Source organism: Homo sapiens, chromosome 1 (genome assembly GCF_000001405.40).
Source record: "Homo sapiens chromosome 1, GRCh38.p14 Primary Assembly".
NCBI lineage: Eukaryota > Metazoa > Chordata > Mammalia > Primates > Hominidae > Homo > Homo sapiens.
The window spans coordinates 240,485,354-240,504,763 of record NC_000001.11 but is presented as its reverse complement, the minus strand read 5'-3'; the positions used below and the strand labels follow the sequence as shown (position 1 = coordinate 240,504,763).

General features: G+C 43.5%; 1 protein-coding gene across 4 annotated transcripts in view, besides 2 other annotated features; it reads left to right on the top strand.

The window, feature by feature from the left end:
* The window catches only part of GREM2 (gremlin 2, DAN family BMP antagonist), a 122,583-nt gene extending 107,392 nt beyond the window's left edge, over positions 1 to 15,191 (top strand). For 3 of the 4 annotated variants that reach the window (NM_022469.4, XM_047427832.1, XM_047427839.1), the window contains one exon: positions 11,288 to 15,191. In NM_022469.4, the coding sequence (NP_071914.3) occupies positions 11,289 to 11,795 (507 nt within the window). In that variant the 5' untranslated portion in view covers position 11,288 and the 3' untranslated portion in view covers positions 11,796 to 15,191. Of the gene's footprint in view, positions 1 to 7,166; positions 7,287 to 11,287 lie in introns of all 4 variants that reach the window. The other variant, XM_011544249.3, reaches the window with a different exon arrangement.
* Positions 888 to 1,088: a silencer, noted in NCBI's record as "peak794 fragment used in MPRA reporter construct". NCBI's record gives its function as "represses an SCP1 promoter by STARR-seq MPRAs in K562 erythroleukemia cells {active_cell/tissue: K562}" and the evidence as "EXISTENCE:reporter gene assay evidence [ECO:0000049][PMID:32103011]".
* Positions 11,378 to 11,549: a silencer, noted in NCBI's record as "fragment chr1:240656515-240656686 (GRCh37/hg19 assembly coordinates)". NCBI's record gives its function as "represses an EF-1alpha promoter that drives an FKBP-Casp9 reporter gene in an ReSE screen in HepG2 liver carcinoma cells {active_cell/tissue: HepG2}" and the evidence as "EXISTENCE:reporter gene assay evidence [ECO:0000049][PMID:32094911]".

The following is a 19,410-nucleotide window of genomic DNA, read 5'->3' as shown; positions in this document are numbered from 1 at the left end:
TATATTAGCTGTTAATGTAATTAGATTCTCCTTTAATTTTGGTTTAAAGAAAATTATGGGAAACAGCCTGACTTGCAAAAGGAACTGATTAGTCATTTACTTTTTAGTGAGGGTAACAATATTTAGAATTGTCCCTTTGCTTGGTGCCCTAGAGCCTTTTTTTGTACTTTAGGCGATATACCACAATAAGAGTGGGTTGGATGGGAGCTATCACTTTCTTCTGTCAAGTGCAAGAAGAGAGGCAGGAAAGGATAATCTGTCCATTCTATTGTAGGCACTTCCTCAACAGATCTCGTGGAAGAAAAGAAAAAATGGAAGTTGAGGATTTGTATATTGATTCCCCTAAAACTACCCTTGTACTCATACCTCTTGGAAAGCCTACGGGTAGCCCCCGAGGGTTAGACATATGCTGATTTGAAGACCAGTTACCCAGAATTGCTGTAGTAGTTAAGATGAGAAATAACAAAGAATATTAGATCAGTGATTGAAGGAGCAAAGAGGGGTGGAACACACTTTGAAATAAAAGGAAGATGAGGACCTGCAAAAATTATTAGTACTGAACAGTTTTTTTCCATTTTTTCAAATATTCCATTTTTAATAATTATGTTCACTTCTGATTTTGATAGCTAGATAGGCATTAAATTATTGTGATTAAAGGCTTATGTAGAAAGTGTCACTCCTATTGAGAAGTTAAGCCAGTTTCAAGTTCTTCTTTATAGTTTTTAAAAATAGAAAAAATGTCACATCTATACTAGTGTAGGTAAAACCTGGTCAATCATCCAGTCCTTCATTCATTCATAAATTAATAAACATTTAAAACTATGCTCTAGACCCACTGTAAGTGACTGTGGAAACAAAGATTAAATACCCCTCTCTTCCAATTACTTAGACTCCAGTGGGGGAGAAAATGTGCAGACAATAGCTACACCACATCTATTGGCTATATGAAGGCAGTCTGTCATGACCATGGCGAAAATAAAGAGCACAGGAAACATGTATGGTTTCACAAAGGAAACAGCATTTTATTGAAGCCTAAGTGACTAACAGTGGCCAGAGAAATAATATCTCAGGCTAAAGCAATAGCTATATGGGAGTGGAAAGCAGCCTTGCATGTGGTAGATAGAACACATAGTTTTGTGCATTTCAAGCATAAGGTGTAAGGTAAAGGGATACTATCTGATGGGACAGGAAGAAGACAAAGATTGCAGAAGGCCTATGCATTGTGCCAAAGACTTTGAACTTGTTTGTAAGTGACGAGAAATCTTTAAAGGGTTTAATGTGAAGGAATAACACAGACAGATTTGCAGGTTAAAATGTCCACTCTGATAGGAGCTGAGAAGATGGATCTGAGAGTGTGAATCTGAAGGGAGAAGGGAGGCCAGCGAAGAGACTAACACAATGTTCAGATGATGAGGATCTAAACCAAAGTGGTAACAGTGGGATTAAGAAGTGAGGAATGAAAGAAGATGAGGTCTTGTTGATGGACTTAATATACGGGAAGATAAACTGGGATACTCTCCAGTAGCTGTGCAAAAGTGATTTAAATACTAAAGAATTTAACTCACGAACACGAAGTCCAGAGGTAAGCAGTTCCAGGGCTGCTGAGTACAGTGGCTTAATAACATAATCAAGAATCCAGTTGCTTTCCATTTTGTGCTCTATACTGCAAAGATTTGATTTGCATCCTGTGCTTGCCCCTCATGGAAGCTGCTAAAGCCTCAGTCATCACATCCTTGCCTAACCACAATAAAGACCTGAATGGTAGTTTCTCCTGGCATGTCTCTTTTCATCAGGGAATAAAAACTTTTCCAAGGAGGCTGCACCTTGCCTCACAGTTACCTTATTGCCCATGCTTAAATCAGTCGCTTGCAAGGACAGTGGAATAACCAATTGGCTTGGACCAACCACCTTTCAACTCCACGGTGTGTAGAAAGGTCTATGAAGAACTTGAAATTCAATACCTGAACAAATTATGGTTCTGTTAGTAAGGAAGAATGGAGATCTTGACTCTTAGGAAGTAAGTGAACAGAGTCTGTTCAAATTCAACTTTCTGGTTGAGGTGAAAGGATCGGTGCTGTTCTGTTCATTGGGATAGCATCTATCAGAGGAATGATGAGTGGGAAGATATGAAAAGATTTGGAACATATAGAATTTGAGGTGCCTACAGGACATTTGGGGAATGTTTGATAGGCAGTTGAGTAGAGGGTCTATGAGTCATGAGCAGAGAGCTAGTTGAAGTCGTAGGCATGAATGAAATTCTTAGTAGAAATGTGAGGAATGAGAAGACAGGGTTATGGAAAAAATTCTTGGGGAACACCAACCTTTAAGAGGAGAGCACAGAAAGAAAAATCACGAAAAGATACTGGAAGAGTGAAGCAAAATAATTGAAAAATATTTTCTCAAGAGTTTCAGAGGAAAAAGGGGTTACAGTGATAGTTTCATCAGGCTTTGCTATGTGCTCTGTCACCATTCCTCCAAACTAACATACAGCAAGTATAATGAAGTAGCTTGAAGTAAGAGTGAACAGGAAAAGTTGGTGGGTTGCATGGACAGGATATTTTTGATTTTGTTCAAAGCATTTTAGACAGGCCTCTTGAATTTTTATGTATACAGAGACAGAAAAGCTATACTCTGCTCCGAGGGAAGTGGACGTCTGCTATTTTAGCTCTCACTGGACACAGAATGCTGTCCTAGGAAGGTCGAAGAGGGGGTCTTTGGGCTGTGGAATCACGAGAGCATGATTGGTGTTTCGGGCAGCAGTCTAAAATCTTTATCTGAAAAAAAAAATATTTAGGTACTGCCTAATGGCTGCAGAGAACAATGTCACTGGCTGTAAAATTCTAATGGATAGCTTCTGATTTCTTCCTTCCTTTCAAATAAAACTCATGGTCCTTTTTGCTCGGAGGGTTCTTGGGTTTTGATGTGATTTCAGTGTCACATTCTTCTGACAGCAACAAGGTCCAGAGGGTGGCAAGTGTCATTAACACCATTTTACAGGGGAGAACCCAGAGAAGCCTGGGAGTGAGTCACACGGGGTCACAACATGGGCAGCTCAGGGCCCAGAAACCATGTTCTCCCTCCCATCCGCACATGGATGTACCCTAGAGAGAAGCAGCCCACTTGTGTATAAACGCACAGCTTTCCAAGCGCTTCCTCATTCATCTCCTTATTTAATTTAATGCTTTGCTGCCATCTTGCTTCAGCATTCCATTTCCTATCCTGAATTTATCCCAACAATTTCTTCAAAGATTTAGAACGTTGATTACAAATTCCCTAATGATGCATTTGCTGTCCAGAAGTCAAAGTAAGTAATGATAGTATCATTTCTTCTCTGTTGAAAACCTTTTTAAGAAAACATAATATAATTTTTCCAGATGAAATTAAGCTTCTCCTGGAACAAAATGATAGTCAGTGTTCCACTCAGGCAATGTCACTTGGAAAAGTAAATGAATCCATTTGGATTTCAAACTTCTGAGTCATGTGGGATGCCCTGATCTTTCTGCTTTGAAGTTGCAAGTCACTTCCTATTATTTCCATGACAGTTCAGAAGATTTATAGTTGGAAATTCTTATTTTTCCTTTCCTCATATTTTAATTTCTCTCACTTCGGGTAAGTTGTAATCATTTATTTTCAGTCACACAGCCATGGCATTTGAGCTTGCTGTACAATCAGAGAGATGCAAATTAAAATCATCATAAGATGCCATCTCAAATGTTTCAGATAGGCAAAAGGCGATGAATCTGGTAACACCAAGAATTAGCAAATATGTGCACCAGCAGGAACTCACATATTACCCAGGGGAAAGGATACTGGTACTGGCATTTGGAAAGCAACTCGGCACAACTTAGTCAAGCTCAAGTTGTACATATCCTGTGACCCAGCATTTCCACCGCCCGGTGCCTCCTCTAGAAAAACTCTAACAGATGGGCATAAATAAACACATGCCAAAATGTTCAGTTCAGCACTATTGGCAATAGTGAAAAACTGGAAGCAAAAAAACTGTTCCTCCATAAGCTGAATGAATAAACTGTGCTTTAATATTCAGTGGTGGGGATAAACAGGCTCCTTCTACAAATATCCATGTGCATAAAATCCCAAACACATATCTCTTGGGGAAAAAGTTGCAAAAGAGTGTGATATAATTTATGTAAAGATTATCGGCTGGGCACGGCAGCTCACGCTTGTAATCCCAGCACTTTGGGAGGCCAAGGCGAATGGATCACTTGAGGCTAGAAGTTCGAGACCAGCCTGGCCAACACGGTGAAACCTTGTCTCTATTAAAAATACAAAAAAAAAAATTAGCCAGGTGTGGTGGTGGGTGCCTGTAGTCCCAGTTACTCGGGAGGCTGAGGCAGGAGAATGGCGTGAACCTGGGAGGCGGAGCTTGCAGTGAGCCAAGATCGCGCCACTGCACTCCAGCCTGGGCAACAGAGCAAGACTCTGTCTGGAAAAAAAAAAAAAGATTATCCACACACACAAACATACTCTGATACACAGAACATGAGCAGCAAAAGCATCAACAGGAACGACGAATACCAACTTTGGGATGCTGGTCATCTCAGTGAGGGATGAGGAGATAGGAGAGCATTTTAGCTTTACTTATATTAACATTTTCAAAACTGAAAGATTGCAAAATAAAAATGGGAAATGTCAGTATTGTTTTCATCTTTCTGGTGAGTACCTATTGTTATATTTTCTGTTTTGCTCTCTGTTTGAAATGTTTCATAGTTAGAAATTTTAAAATTGAAAGCTACTTTTCTGGCAAAAGAGTTCAACACTAAAGAGAAGGCAAAGATTGAATTGGATAGAAAATGTTTGGAGCAGGACTTAGCAAAGTGTTTCTGTAAAAGCCCAGAAAGTAAATATTTTAGACCATGGGCATTATATTCAGGTCTCCACCACTCACTCTGCCCTTATAGCACCAAAGCAGCAGCCATAGACTAAATGAGTGGCTGTGGCTGTGTTCCAACATAACTTTATTTACAAAACAGATCTCAGGTTGGGTTTGGCCTGTGGGCCATAGTTTGCCTTAGTTTATAGAAGCTGGGGGTAAGTGGTTTCAGCAAGCAAGCAATCTTTGGCTGCGAGGATGATCCCTGATCCCAGGGCCAAGAAACATCGACCTCTGTCTCTAAAGGTTTAACTGAAGAGCCAGACCACCACCCTCCCAGCCTAAGAATCCAAGTCATCGATGAAGTGCCTTTAGTAGCTGAGGCTGTGGCAGTACTAAACCTCATAAAAATGACCTCTGAAGTGTAATCTTGTTGGGAGTTTTGTTTGGTTCTGCCATGGTTTTCACTTGGGTAATGGGAGCAAGTTTATCCCAGATGTGCCTATCAGTATTCAGCTATTCAGCCCTGGGGACTTCCCTTCAACTTTCCAAGAATGCCATAAAATCCTCAGGTTGTAGAAAAAGTTTCAGCCCCACGCCATTCACCATTCCTGCACAGCCCAGGGCTAACTTGATTTGACTTCTAAAACTCAAGAAGGCCACTCTTGGAGTGAGTTCATCAGCTTAGCTGTACCCTTTGCCATTGGTCACTTGCATTTGCCTGTCAGGAAGGATGACTCAGCACTACTGTATTCTTTCCTAGAAATCAGGAAGTTTTATTGTTCAAGCTCCTGTTGTAGAACCCCTGTTCAGGTCTTGCCACTTTTAGGAACGGCTGATAGAAGGGGCCTGTGATGGATTCCTTAGCTGCCTAAATACTAGCTTGCTTTGGCCTGTGCAGTCCTTATTCTGGTATCTACAGAGGCCAGGCCTGAGGGCGTTCACTTAAAAGGAAAGCACTTCCACTACCTCTCTCTTTGCACAACCAACTTTGGCCAACCCAGTCTGCTTAGACCATCAGCATTTACAGTCCTGGCACCCCTTGTAAATTGAGAACATGGTCAGGCCAGAAAGATGGTTAATAAAACCAACAGGATTTATTTATGAGTTTCTTCTGATACAAGCCAAATACAAGATGTGAGAATAAAATGAAGTATCCTCGTGCTGTCGTTACCGGCAGGGGTGGCAACATTCCTGAAAGGTTAATTGTGTGCCAACCATTTTTCTGATTAGCAAAGTGGTTCAGGACAGAGTGGGACTTTCTATAAAGTGCTAAATTCAGCTCCTGGCGGGGCCGCTGACATGCTTGTGCAGGGATGATGAGCGAACGGACAGAGGCAAGCAAGAGAACGGACGTTCTCTCCCCTGGTGAACTCTGCACAGCCAAGGGCCAGCAGTGTAGGTGCCGTTAGCAGTTGCTGGCTCAACTGCCTGAATGCTCTGAAGTAGGAGGATACAGCCTCACAGTCACTGTGGGTCACCATGGCCGAACACCTCTTGCCTACTTACCTGTCTGACAGTGAGATGCCAGATCCTTGGCCATCTTACTATTGCTATGTGTGAAGGAGAAAAGAAATGAGATGTAGGAAAGGAAAAAGAGAAGAGACTGACTTCGCCCCAGTCATCGAGATTTCCTCAACCACTTTTCCCCCTTCCTGAAAGTTGAAGGTTTGCATTTTTGCTTAGCTTCCCGTGAGACCTAACTTCTAAGGATGATTGCCAGATGTTTTGAAAACATGTTAATGAGTTCAAAGAATGCCCAGCACCACATCTAATACTATTGGCCCTAAGAGGTTTTGCCTCAAATTGATCTGATTTAGCTCTGTCAGCTCTGTCTTAGCTCTGTTCTCTCTGATAAGATCTAGGACCTGTTGAAGGAAAGCGTGCATTTTTGAGTCTATCAGCCATGCATGTGAAGCTGTTACTGGAACTAGGAATTGAGGACCAGACTGACTCTGTCAATCTTTCCTGGCTGGGACTTGCAAACTCTTGGTTATGTTTACTCAGAATGTTAATAATTTCGGAAATTATTAAAATGGAACCAAAATACTTTCTTTTTAAGAGGCTATTGAGATCACAAATCATTCCACAAATATAATAAGCTATGTAAGCTGAGCGAGTCCAATACTTGACACTTGGCCTGAGCCAGCTGGAAGCGTGGCCATTTTCATATGACATTTCATGTGTGCAACTAAGGAGGCATGAGAAAAACCCTTTAAAAATGAGGCGTTAAAATTTTAATAATTGTGCTGGACAAAATGTTTTTGCAAAAAAAAAAAAACTTTTTTTTTCTCCTTTCTGCTTTCAATTTTTTTTTTTTACTCCCTTTGCCCAGCGTCATCGACAGTACCAAACCCTTTGCTTTTGCCCATATCATCGCCCTGAGGAATCCTGTTCAGATTTCAAGGGACCCACTTACTTGTGACTTCCTAAGCTCCTCCTGCTCCTTCTCCAGGTAGAACCGATGCTTTTCCCTTTCGCCCTCACTATACTTTGTGGCCATTGGATCCCACCAGAATTGGGTGAGGCAATTTTTAGAAATACAGATCTGAAACCCCACCCCAACACTACTGACCCAGAATGCTTTGGGGCCTGTATCAAAAGATCTCATGTACTCCATAAATATATATACCTATTATGTACCCACAAACATTAAAAATTAAAAAGAAATTTAATTAAAACTTTTTTTAAAAAGAATGCTTCTTGAGCCCAGGAATGTGCACTGTAAAGTACCACAGGTGATTCAGATGTCGTTGGTCACAGGATCACTACCACAAGGACCCAGGCCATTCTTCCTAAATACCTTTGTCACGCAGTCACGTGCATGCCTTTCTCTGGCTTCTTAATTACAGACTTGTTGAAGGCAATGACCTGTATAGTATCCATATTTCGTTCAACATTTTTTTTTTTTGAGATGGAGTTTCACTCTTGTTGCCCAGGCTGGAGTGCAATGGCATGATCTTGGCTCACTGCAACCTCTGCCTCCCGGGTTCAAGCGATTCTCCTGCCTCACCCTCCTGAGTAGCTGGGACTACTGGGACTACAGGTGTGTGCCACCACGCCCAGCTAATTTTTTTGTATTTTTAGTAGAGACGGGGTTTCACCATTTTGGCCAGGCTGGTCTCAAACTCCTGACATCAGGGGATCCGCCCACCTTGGCCTCCCAAAGTGCTGGGATTACAGGCATGAGCCGCTGAGCCTGGCCTTAACACATTTATTGAGTGCCTACTGTACACCAGGCACTGTTCTGAGAGCAGGAGACATGGCAATGAACAAAACAGGCAGGTCTTCTCTCTTGGACCTTACATTCCCAGGAGAAAAGTCAGACAAGAAAGACAAGTGTGATTATGAAATACTATCTCGTTAGATGATAAGTTCCCTGGAGGAAGATAAAGCAGGGAAGGAGGAGACGGTGACGTCCACGATGGTGGTGAAGGTAACTCTAAGCCTTCGCTACAGAGGTGGTAACCGAGCAAAGAGTTGAAGACTGTGAGGAAGAAGGCCAAGTAGACATTTGGGAGAAAGACAAGGTAAGGCTCTAGAGCACAAGAATGCCAAGCTCATTCTAGAAACAGATAGGCTATTTCCAGTATGGCTGGAGCAGAGTGAGCAAGTGGGAGAGAGGACGGAGGAGGCTGGTGAGATGCAGGGGAGTGGGGAGATCTTGTAAAGGCTCGTCCGACCCTGTGAGAACTTTGCCTTAGCCTGGCCCAGTGGCCTGTAATCCCAGCACTTTGGGAGGCCGAGACCGGCAGATCACTTGAGGTCAGGAGTTCGAGACCAGCCTGGCCAACATAGTGAAACCCTGTCTCTACTAAAAATACAAAAATTAGCTGGGCCTGGTGGCGCGCGCCTGTAATCTCAGCTACTTGGGAGGCTGAGGCAGGAGAATTGCTTGAACTTGGGAGGCAGAGGTTGCAGTGAGCTGAGATCGTGCCACTGCATTCCAGCCTGGTGACAGAGTGAGACTCCATCAAAAAAAAAACAAAAACAAAAACAAAAAAAACCTTTGCCTTATTCTCTAAGATACTGGAATTCACAAAGCCTATGACAGTGCTTACTCCAGAATAAACGTTCCATGGATACTTGATGAATAAAGGAATCATCTCCAAGGTGGCATGCAAAGGCCTCTTGTGGTTTAGACTTAGACTAAGACTCAGAGAAATAATTTTAGCATAGATATTTTAACGTAAATATTTTTAACAAAGAGGCAGCTATACTCACCCAGAGCTCAGATTCTGGAGCCGGGATGCCTGGATTCAAATATTTCACATACTGGCTATAGAATCTTGGCAGCCTGTCAATGCCTTAGTGTCCTCATCCATAAAATGAAGAAAATAATAGTACCTACTTCATAGAACTCAGATCATTAAATACGTCTATACATGAAAGTAAACTGTAAGTGTTTGATGTACTTTGAGAATCAATAAATATTTGCTATTACCATTAGCATGGATATATTTAAGACGTAAAAAATTCAAACATTTAACATATTTAATATTCAATTTTAGTTATTTCTATATACTCATGATTGATAAATATAACAACTGATATATACTATATTACTATATGATACATATGATGTATATATAATTGTTACATGTCCATTTTAGGGTATACATGTTAAAAGAATGGGAATTCATGGAGTCCTAGAGAAGGTAAAACAGAAAATGAGTAAACATAAAGATGATGATGATGTTGGTAACAGCTACATTGGTAGCTACCGTTGTAAAAAGAGATCAGAGTCCTCAATATTGCTGGGTATTAGTGTTCCTTGGGGCTACTACTAAAAATACAAAAATTTAAAATGTGAATTACACTTTGAAGTCTATCTTTCACTTTAGTCAGACTTTGGCTTGTGCCCTGCAAGCCACGTTTTAGATAGCATGAGAATAATTTCTGTCCAATTCTCATTCCTATTGAATTTGTGTCATAGTCTCCTAATACAAATGAGATGACACTTTGCATTGTCATCAGACAGTTTTAATACAGCTAGGGAAATTTCTATTTTTTTATTCTTATTTTTTTTTCTGAGCCGGAGTCTCACTCTGTCGCACAGGCTGGAATACAGTGACGCCATCTCGGCTCATTGCAAGCTCCGCCTCCCGGGTTCACGCCATTCTCCTGCCTCAGCCTCCCAAGTAGCTGGGACTACAGGCGCCCGCCACCACGCCTGGCTAATTTTTTGTATTTTTAGTAGAGACAGGGTTTCACCGTGTTAGCCAGGATGGTCTCGATCTCCTGACCTCGTGATCCGCCTGCCTCGGCCTCCCAAAGTCAGCTAGGGAAATTTCTTAATTCACACCTGGGAATTAGTTTCTACTAGGAGACTCTAATTTATGACTCATTTGAATGATTTGAACATCTGTGTGCAGATGTTAAATGCTAATGTTATTATTCATATGTAATAATACAGATGCAACTAGTAATTTTTCTAGCCTATGTCCAGTTCTATCTTTAATACTCATTTTTAAAGAAACTTGTGAACGACACCCATCTTCTCTCTACTTTGTACTTACTAATTTTTGTAATCACATCCATGTCTGCTGGTTAACATTGATGGCTCTGGAGGTAGATGTCTGGCTGGCTTCAAATCCTGGGCCATTGTTTAGTGGTTGTGTGACCTCAGGTAAATGACTCAACTTCTGTGGGCCCCAGCCTCAGTTTCCTTCACTGTAAAGTGACCCCTTCACTGTAAAGGGGTCATAATACCACCTCCAACTGAAGGCTATTTTTAGGATGAAATGAGATATACATGTAAATGAGATGTACTCTTAGGACAGCACTTGGCACAAAGTAAAACACTGTAAATATTGAGTATTAACTATTATTGGTACTTCTGCAAACTGGCTTGAGGTCTCTCTTCCCAGCATTTGCTTTGTACTTCTGTAACTGTTCAACACGCGTGTTTTCTAACTGCATTTACTGCATAAGTTACTGGCCATTTTGTCCGCCTCCTTGCCTTCCAGGCATTATTTGGGGTGCAGTCCTAACTGCCTACACTTGTACCATTTAATCCCTTTTCACCTCCAGCTGCCCCTGGGCAGCCATCAGTCTGCCATGCCCCACCTGACTGTCACTGCTAGTAAAACCGTACAGCATTAAAAAGACGTGGTGGCTCACGCCTATGATCCCAGGGCTTTGGGAGGCTGAGGCAGAGGAGCGCTTGAGGCCAGGAGTTCCAGACCAGCCTGGGTAACATGGTGAGATCCCGTCTCTACAAAAAAAAATAAAAAGAAAGTAGATGGGCGTGGTGGTGCAAGCCTGTAGTTCTAGCCACACAGGAGGCTGAGGCAGGAGGATCCCAGAGTTTGAGCCTGCAGCAAGCTACGTGCCCCTGCACTCCAGCCTGGGCAACAGAGCCAGACCATGTCTAAAATAAAAAAAAAAATAAGTAAGATTGATCCCGTACTCTACGGCCCTTCACAGCCAGCCCCTCTCTTTTCTCGTTTGCAGGATGTTCTGGAAGCTTTCCCTGTCCTTGTTCCTGGTGGCGGTGCTGGTGAAGGTGGCGGAAGCCCGGAAGAACCGGCCGGCGGGCGCCATCCCCTCGCCTTACAAGGACGGCAGCAGCAACAACTCGGAGAGATGGCAGCACCAGATCAAGGAGGTGCTGGCCTCCAGCCAGGAGGCCCTGGTGGTCACCGAGCGCAAGTACCTCAAGAGTGACTGGTGCAAGACGCAGCCGCTGCGGCAGACGGTGAGCGAGGAGGGCTGCCGGAGCCGCACCATCCTCAACCGCTTCTGCTACGGCCAGTGCAACTCCTTCTACATCCCGCGGCACGTGAAGAAGGAGGAGGAGTCCTTCCAGTCCTGCGCCTTCTGCAAGCCCCAGCGCGTCACCTCCGTCCTCGTGGAGCTCGAGTGCCCCGGCCTGGACCCACCCTTCCGACTCAAGAAAATCCAGAAGGTGAAGCAGTGCCGGTGCATGTCCGTGAACCTGAGCGACTCGGACAAGCAGTGAGCGCCGGGCCGGACGCAGCTCAGCCCCGCGCGCGCCCGGCCGCTGGGTGGCGCCGCCGCCGCCTCTGTCCCTGCCCTCCGAGCCCACTGTCACGCTGCCTGGTGTTCCCCCTCAGCAGCAAGCACTTCTCTTAGGGCTGACGGTGTCCTTGTCACAGACGTGGATCGCAAGTGGAGCTTTTGCTGATGTGTTCCTGACCGACCCCGGGTCCCACCTGTGCCCCCTAAACCAGGCGGTGGATCAGGCCCGAAGGAAAATGCTGGAAAACCACCACCGCCACCCAGCAGTCAGAGAGGACCTTTCGAGGTGATGCACTGTAAATCCGGCATTGATGTTTCCACCATGTGGAAAAGCAAGGATTTCCCTGGCCCCGCCCTGCACTCCAGCTCGCCCCTTTCCCGCGCGAAGTGAAGGATGCGTCACTTTTCTGAGCGGCCCCTCAGACCTCTCCTGCTGGTCCCTGGACCTCTGGCTGGGAGCGCTCATTCTTGTGACTGGCAGGCTGCCCTCGGTCGCTGCTGTGATGAGGATATGTGCAACCTCCATAAATATGTCGGTGGACGGGGCGTCTCCTAATAAACCTGATACCAAGAAGACAACTTGAGCCACTTGGATCCCGAAGTGGGCTTCCCGGGAAACCTCGAGCAGAGCAGGCTACACAATCCCCCATCCTCAAGTCCCCACCGCCTCTTCTTCCTCACTGTCCCCGCCCCCTATTTGTGGACTAAAGATGAACTCTGGTGTGCATGCTATTATTGCTGCAATTAGAATATTATCACACACAAAGGTCTCTATATTAACGCTGGTTTTATAAGTGACCGTATATTGTAAAGAGCTGTTAAAAAGTATTATAGACCTATTCATGTATTATTTCACATGTTTTGACTCTGGCTTGCAGCACCATTCGGAGTAAGGATGACAGCAGGCCCAGAAGGTGTCTTACTCAGAAAAAAAAATGCCTGGTCAGCAATTCACTGTCATGCACCTATTTTTAGATTGGGCAGGGAGATGGGAGGAGTCGTGATTTTTACTTTGAATACTATTTCACTGACGTTACTAAGCATTGCAGCACAATGTAGAAATTGGCTTGGGATGGATAGGTATAGGGAAGGGCATTCGTTGGGAAATTGATGACCGGAAACTAGAAAGCCCCTATAATGTGGAATATGCATATGTGGGGTGAAACCGTATACTACTTTCACTGCCATGACACTAGGCAAAAAATATTTCCTGTTAAAAGAAAGAGAAAAAGAGAGGGATATTGAAAAATATAAGGAGTTGAGTCGCTTTGTGGTATAGAAGGGAGTAAGGAATAAAAGATATAGAATAGTAATCTAGTTGAACTGTTCTGCACAAAACATGCTTCCTTTTCAAAGAATAGACTTCAAAAGGGACGAACAAACATTAGGTCACCTTTTGTGTTTATAATGAATTGTTGACGTTTCCATGCTGTGGTCTCTTGATATACGGAAGTAGACGTAACTTATTTTCCAGCGAAATTATATACTTCTTCTGGGCTCCTTTGCTCAGTTGCCCCAGGAAGGCTTCCCTGTGAGTAATGCTTATGGAATCTGACAAATGTGAATGAGCTGCCATTGGTGGGAATCAGTAAACTTTGAAAACCTTTCACTGATGATTCCCTGGTAAGTGCTCCTGTGAGGGGCCACTTCCCTAGTATGTGAGAGAGACCCTCTGCAAGCCGCTGTGGGGACTTAGCTTCCTGATACTAGGTAGTGATGGTGGATCTAGAGACATTCACTTGAAGAGCAAGGATTGGGGTGGGGTGGGTTGGTGAATCTATCTCAGGCCACTGCACTGCAAGGTGCATTTCTGTCATTTCTGCAACACCATGAGACCTGAGCAAGAATGTGCTGTGGCAGAGGGGGTCTTGGTTTCATAAATGGGTATATACAGCCTGAACTCAGGAGGCAGAAATCAAAAGAAATCCTTGAGGGCTGGAACCTGAGGATAGAGCGAAAATGGAGAGAAGGGTGTTCAAGGTCAGGAGTGATTTTTGCATTTGGTGGAAAACCTCAAGTCAGACTCAGTGGCAGAACATGCAGCAGAAAAGCTGTGAAGGAAGGAAATTTACGTGATTGTAATGGAGGCTAGGGGTGGATTGGGAGGTGAGTGGAGGAGAGTCTCTGACCAGCTGCAGAGCCAACCCCTATCATTTTATTAACATGGAACCCACACAGATAGGGGAGGGATTAAGCTAAGAACTTACAGAATGCAAACACGAGCACACTCTCTTCGAACCCAATTGTGGGTGTAGCAATGAAAGCAATATGATATGCTGCAGTGTGAAGCTCCTTCTGGGGTTATCGTATGTACAAAGTTTACCTTATAATGGCTCAAATTGTATTTAATTTTTTTGTTTTGTTTATAAATGAAGAAAAGCTATAAGTATAATGTAATTATTTTATAGGTATACTATTAAATTATAGAACAAATAAAGATAATCTAGGATTATATGTGATCCCGGTGTGACGTGCCATAAAAGTGGAATTTTTGACTTGTTGCAGTGAGCTGTGAAGCAGCACTATGCGTTCAGAGAGTTTTTGTTCAACCATGGTGAGTTCAACCTCTAGCTTATGTCACATGATCTCCTTTGGGGTCTGGAATCTTCTAAGAGAAATAGAATCAGGCATCCAAGGAGCAGAAGTGATGGAGGTGGCCCTCAATCCTGGTCTTTGGAAGCTTCCAAGCCTCTTCCACATCCCCTGCCAGCTGAAGACAGAGTATTCTCACTGTGCTGGCTGAAGGAGAAACACTAAACAAGGAAACCTTGAGAAACTGCAGCAATGGAAGTCCACTGTTAGTCTCTCCGTTAGCACCAGGGACACACTTGTTCTGAGTTTTGTTCATTTTCACATTTACTCCTCATGAGTTCCAACATTTCTTAATTTAAATATTTCTTAGTTTATAGCATCTCCATTTTTCTATTAATTGACTTAATCTGCCATTTAAGAAAACTCCGTAATCAATAAAAAATAAAATCCACAATCAAACTGCACATGGTTGATCCACTGTGTAGGCTTCAAAGGAATTAAACTCAACTTCCTAGGAAATAATTCATCTTAGTTTATTAAATGGGACAGAATATTTCACTGCTAACGTATTCTAACTCACTTGTTTTTGAAATTGGCCAGATGATTTTTAAGTTATAAAGTCAATGAAAATGACTTTTGCTATTGTGTGAACAACTTAGAATGTATATATTCCCAGAAGGCTTATTTAATGATTGACCTATCACCACTGATTATTAATGTCTGCATGAATGATAACAATAAGACCAAGTCATCAATAATGCAATGAAAATTTTTTAAGTGAAAGCAAGTTTATTAAGAAAGTAAAGGAATAAAGAATGCCTACTTCATAGGCAGAGCAGCCTAAGATGTCTTATTCATCATGTTATTTTCTGAATTCTCCTTAATCCCCAACCTTGCCACCCCTTCACCCTGCTTCTCACACACAGCAGATGCCCATTCAACTTACCAAAAACAAAACACGGGAAACCGTGCAGTTTTTGTTGTTGTTGCTTGTATCCATTGATGTTACTGACTTTGCTAGTATTTAGTCTAGAATATAAGGCAAAACAAACAAAACCAGGGAAATCACTGCCATATCATTCCTTGAATCCCGAGTTTCCTACCTTCTCTGCCTTCTTTTCTCCACCTTCTACAGCCTCATATGTTTGTTATATGTGTGTGTGCATGTGTGTATATACACACAATATATATATAGTGTATAGTGTATATATTGTGCGAGAAAAAGGAGAGAATGGTGTATATATGGTGTATAGTGTATATAGTGTATACACTTACACACACATAACATCCGGAGATTTTAGTGGAGGGAATAGGAAAAAAATATGTCTAATGCATCTTACCCAGAATCAGAAGTTTCCTGAATTTTTGTAAGGTTTATTGCCCACTTTCTAAGGTGTATGGAGTGTGCGCTTACCAAGTCCTCCAGCATAACTTGCCCCATACCTCTCATCTGGTCCTATTATATGATGTCAATCATATGATGAATCTGTGTAGTGATTTATAGAATGTCCCTTCAGTTTACATTTTGACAAAGAGCATAATAACTTACATTGTCTGGGGACAAGGCCATAAATATAAACTGTTCATCCCACTGGAACGCAGACTACCTCTGGTCCTCTCACCTACCGGGATGATGGAAAACACACTTGCCAGGTAAAGTTCTGGAAGTTGTTTTAATCCGCTTTAGCAAAGAGTTCACCCTGAGTGCAGTAGGTGTAACTGGGGCTACTGCTGGAACATCCTGCCATGTTCCATTTGATTTTCGTAGGAGCCAGCATGGTGAAGTAAATCAAAATATAGCCAGGGCTACTACACTATTAAAGTCTATGAGAGGTTCATAATTTCCCAGATTCCTTCTGGAATTCAGCGTCATTTTTGATTTACTCTTTCTTCTAGGGTGGGGAGCAGCTTCAGGGGCTTCCATTTGTCTTTCCCCACTACAATAGCTCTTACCTAAGAACTCAAGAATCAATGTGAGGGTTCTTCAAACTACCAAGAGTGTCCCTTCCAATTACATATTTGGAAATGAGGGAAAGGATCACCAGGTTAGTCTGTGGACCCGTGGGCCCACTGAGAGCCAGAGCTTGGAGGACTCTAGTAGACGCTGTATGCTCCCACATCAGGAGGGAGCCATGGTGGTTCACTGGGTCTCCAGGTGTTGGTGTCAGTTCAGACCCAGTGTTCAATAATTCTCAAAAGTGCTGAGTCTTCTTCTTCTCTCCCAAACCACATTTGCCTGAATAAAGTGGTCCTGAGCTCCCCGGTTAAGAAGTAGGGAAATAACAAATGAATAGATTTGCCCTGGTATTGCAGGGTCATAAGGAATCAGCCACTTCTTCAGCCAATGGGTTTCAGGTCTGATCTGGAAACCGAACAAGGGATTGTGATTTTCATTGAGATGCTGCCCTCTGTCTCTGATTTTCCTTTATTGATTTATTTTGACTGTGTAAATTAAGCAATACTTCTTGTTGCCCTCCCCCCACAACCCCCCATCCATCTTGCCTTCAGGAACATCATGTTCTAGTAACCATCTTCAAGTTGGGAGTCCACGGACGCCACTATAGTCCTACCCCTCTTTGCAATAACTGTGCCCACTTCTGAAAGCTAAGCATTACAACCTGGCTCATTTTATTCTGAGATCTTGCTATTCTCGTGTCCCTCAGGGAATCTAGATTTACAGCAGCATCTCTTCCTACAGTTATCCCTGGCCTACAGATGATGGCACTACTGAGCACCAGAGCTGCTACCCCTCTCACCAACACAATCATCATAGCTTTGGTAACTAGAGACCTTCCTGGGAACACAGTTGGTGAGTGGTTTGGTTTTCATAGCTTTACAGAGCAAACCCACTTTAGCACCCCCACTTCTCTGAGCCTTAGGGTGGTTTTATCCATCATGCACCATGGAAGTTCTTATATTTTTATTTCATGGAGTGTGAATCAAAGTGTTTGAGATACTCCAAGAATTGTCCTAGTAGCTTATTATCACCATTCCTGGGGGATTTTCCACAGGTTCAAATCCTGAATCATGGGAGACTGCTCCCATGGTGATAAGCATTATCCAACTTAATGTCCTGCTCTTCTTCCTTGATACAGCAGCCTTGGGACACATTCCCATCCTTCTTCTCCCGGCTCCTGCTGTGATTTCACCGTACAGTCCGTTTCCTCCCTTAGCCAATCCAGCAGATCCCCAGCAGAGATGAGAGTCTAACAACAGACCTAGCAGGCTCAGGGGACTTTGAGAGTCCCAACTCATCTACCCAGGTACTCCTCTCCCAATTTTAGGGGTTCTACTTCCCTATTAGGGTTCTAATCTTGGGACAAGAGACTTGCTGAAGCTGAGAATACAAAATTCTCTGAAACAGAGCTCCTCTTTACAATTGAGCCTTCTTCTGACTGCAGGAGACTAGGGCTTACTTGAATGCTACCTAGAAGATCCTATCTATGGCTTTTACATTCTGTCTGAATTGGTGATTCATCACTTTGAGTCTTTTATTATCTCTTCAACAAATCAATACCACTTGTAAGCAGGTACCCGATCCCAAAGTCCTTATAATCACTCTGCCCCTCACAACTTTTAAGCACCAAAGATATCAAAGCAGCATCATTCCTCTGGGGTCACATGTGAGGTTCATTGACTCATGCCAAGGAAATCAAGGATGCGGACACACACGAGTGAGTTTAAGAGCAGCAGTTTAACAGGCAAAAGAGAAAAGCTCCCTTGTGCAGAGGGAAGGGGTTCCGAGTGGATCTCCCCACTCGTGGGGAGATGCAGTTGGTTTTATAGATGAGTTTGAGGAGGCGGTGTCTGATTTATATAGGGTGCAATGGATTGGTTGGGTTAGATGTGTCATTTACATAGTGAAGCTGGCCGTCCCACCCTAATCTTTTATTATGCAGATGAGTTATCTACCTGCCCAGCACCATGCTGCCTGTTCCCTGATTGCACACAAGTGACAAAGAAAAGTCAAGATGGAGCCTCCATGAGGAACAGGCTTTGCCCCCAGGTGCCTTATCCTATTGGCACAGCTGCTGGCATTCCCCTGTGCAAGCTTCTGGCTGCTTTTCTATATCTGCAGCTTGATATTTCAGGCTGCTCTTTGTTATTAAAAAAAATGATTTGGGGGCTGCTTTTTATCAAAAGGGAAACTTTATTGAGGACTCTCTTACCCTCATTATCTGATTATCTGTCTAAATAATTTCATTTGAGTTCCTGTATCAATATTGCACCAGCCAGTGAGTCTCCCAACCAGTGTCCCATCCTAATTTACCTCTGGGAAGAGTTTTAACAACACAGGGCTACAGCACACCAGGACCGATACTCAGCAGCTGCCCAACGACTGAGCTTTCTCCAAATCCTGGGTTCGAGTATTCTTCTCCAGGAACTGGAATTGTCTATCTTAGATTGGTTTTCCAAACTCTGAGACAGAGTTGTGAGCAGAAGGTTTATTGGGGGAATGCTTGCAGAACAGAGACCTGTAAGCACATGAGGACTGTGCAGTGGGAAAAGCCATCAGGTCATAAATGAGGACTTGTCTGATCCTGTGGGGAGCTCTGGAGCTGGGGGGCGCATTTTAGAGTGGTGCCAAATTGAAGAAAGAGAGACAGGCTTTTGTAGCCCACATCCCTCAGTCACTGAGCACAAGCCATCCCTAGGACGGGGCGTGTATTGCCTCCAAGGGCAAATCTCAGTGAGGACCCAGCTGTTAGTTTCAGCGAGGGTCAGCAGCCAGGTGAGATGGTGAGATGGGATCGGTACATCAGCCCTGAAGACGGTATCTGGGGAGAGCAACATAATAGTCACCTTTCCCTGTGTGTTAGGGGTAGGTGTGGGGGCTGGAGCATGGGGGGAAGGAGGAGACAGAGAAGAAAGAACATGGAGGGCCTTGAAAGAGAGGCAGAGCAAGTTCCACCTGACATCATAGGAAATAGAAAATCGCGGACAGATTGGATCAAGGGTTATTCTAGTCACGACATGCTAGGTGATTGGAGGGAACAGAATCTGGGTCCAGATAGGCCAGCTCAGGGGCTCTTGCAACAACATAAACTGAAGGTTAGGGCCAG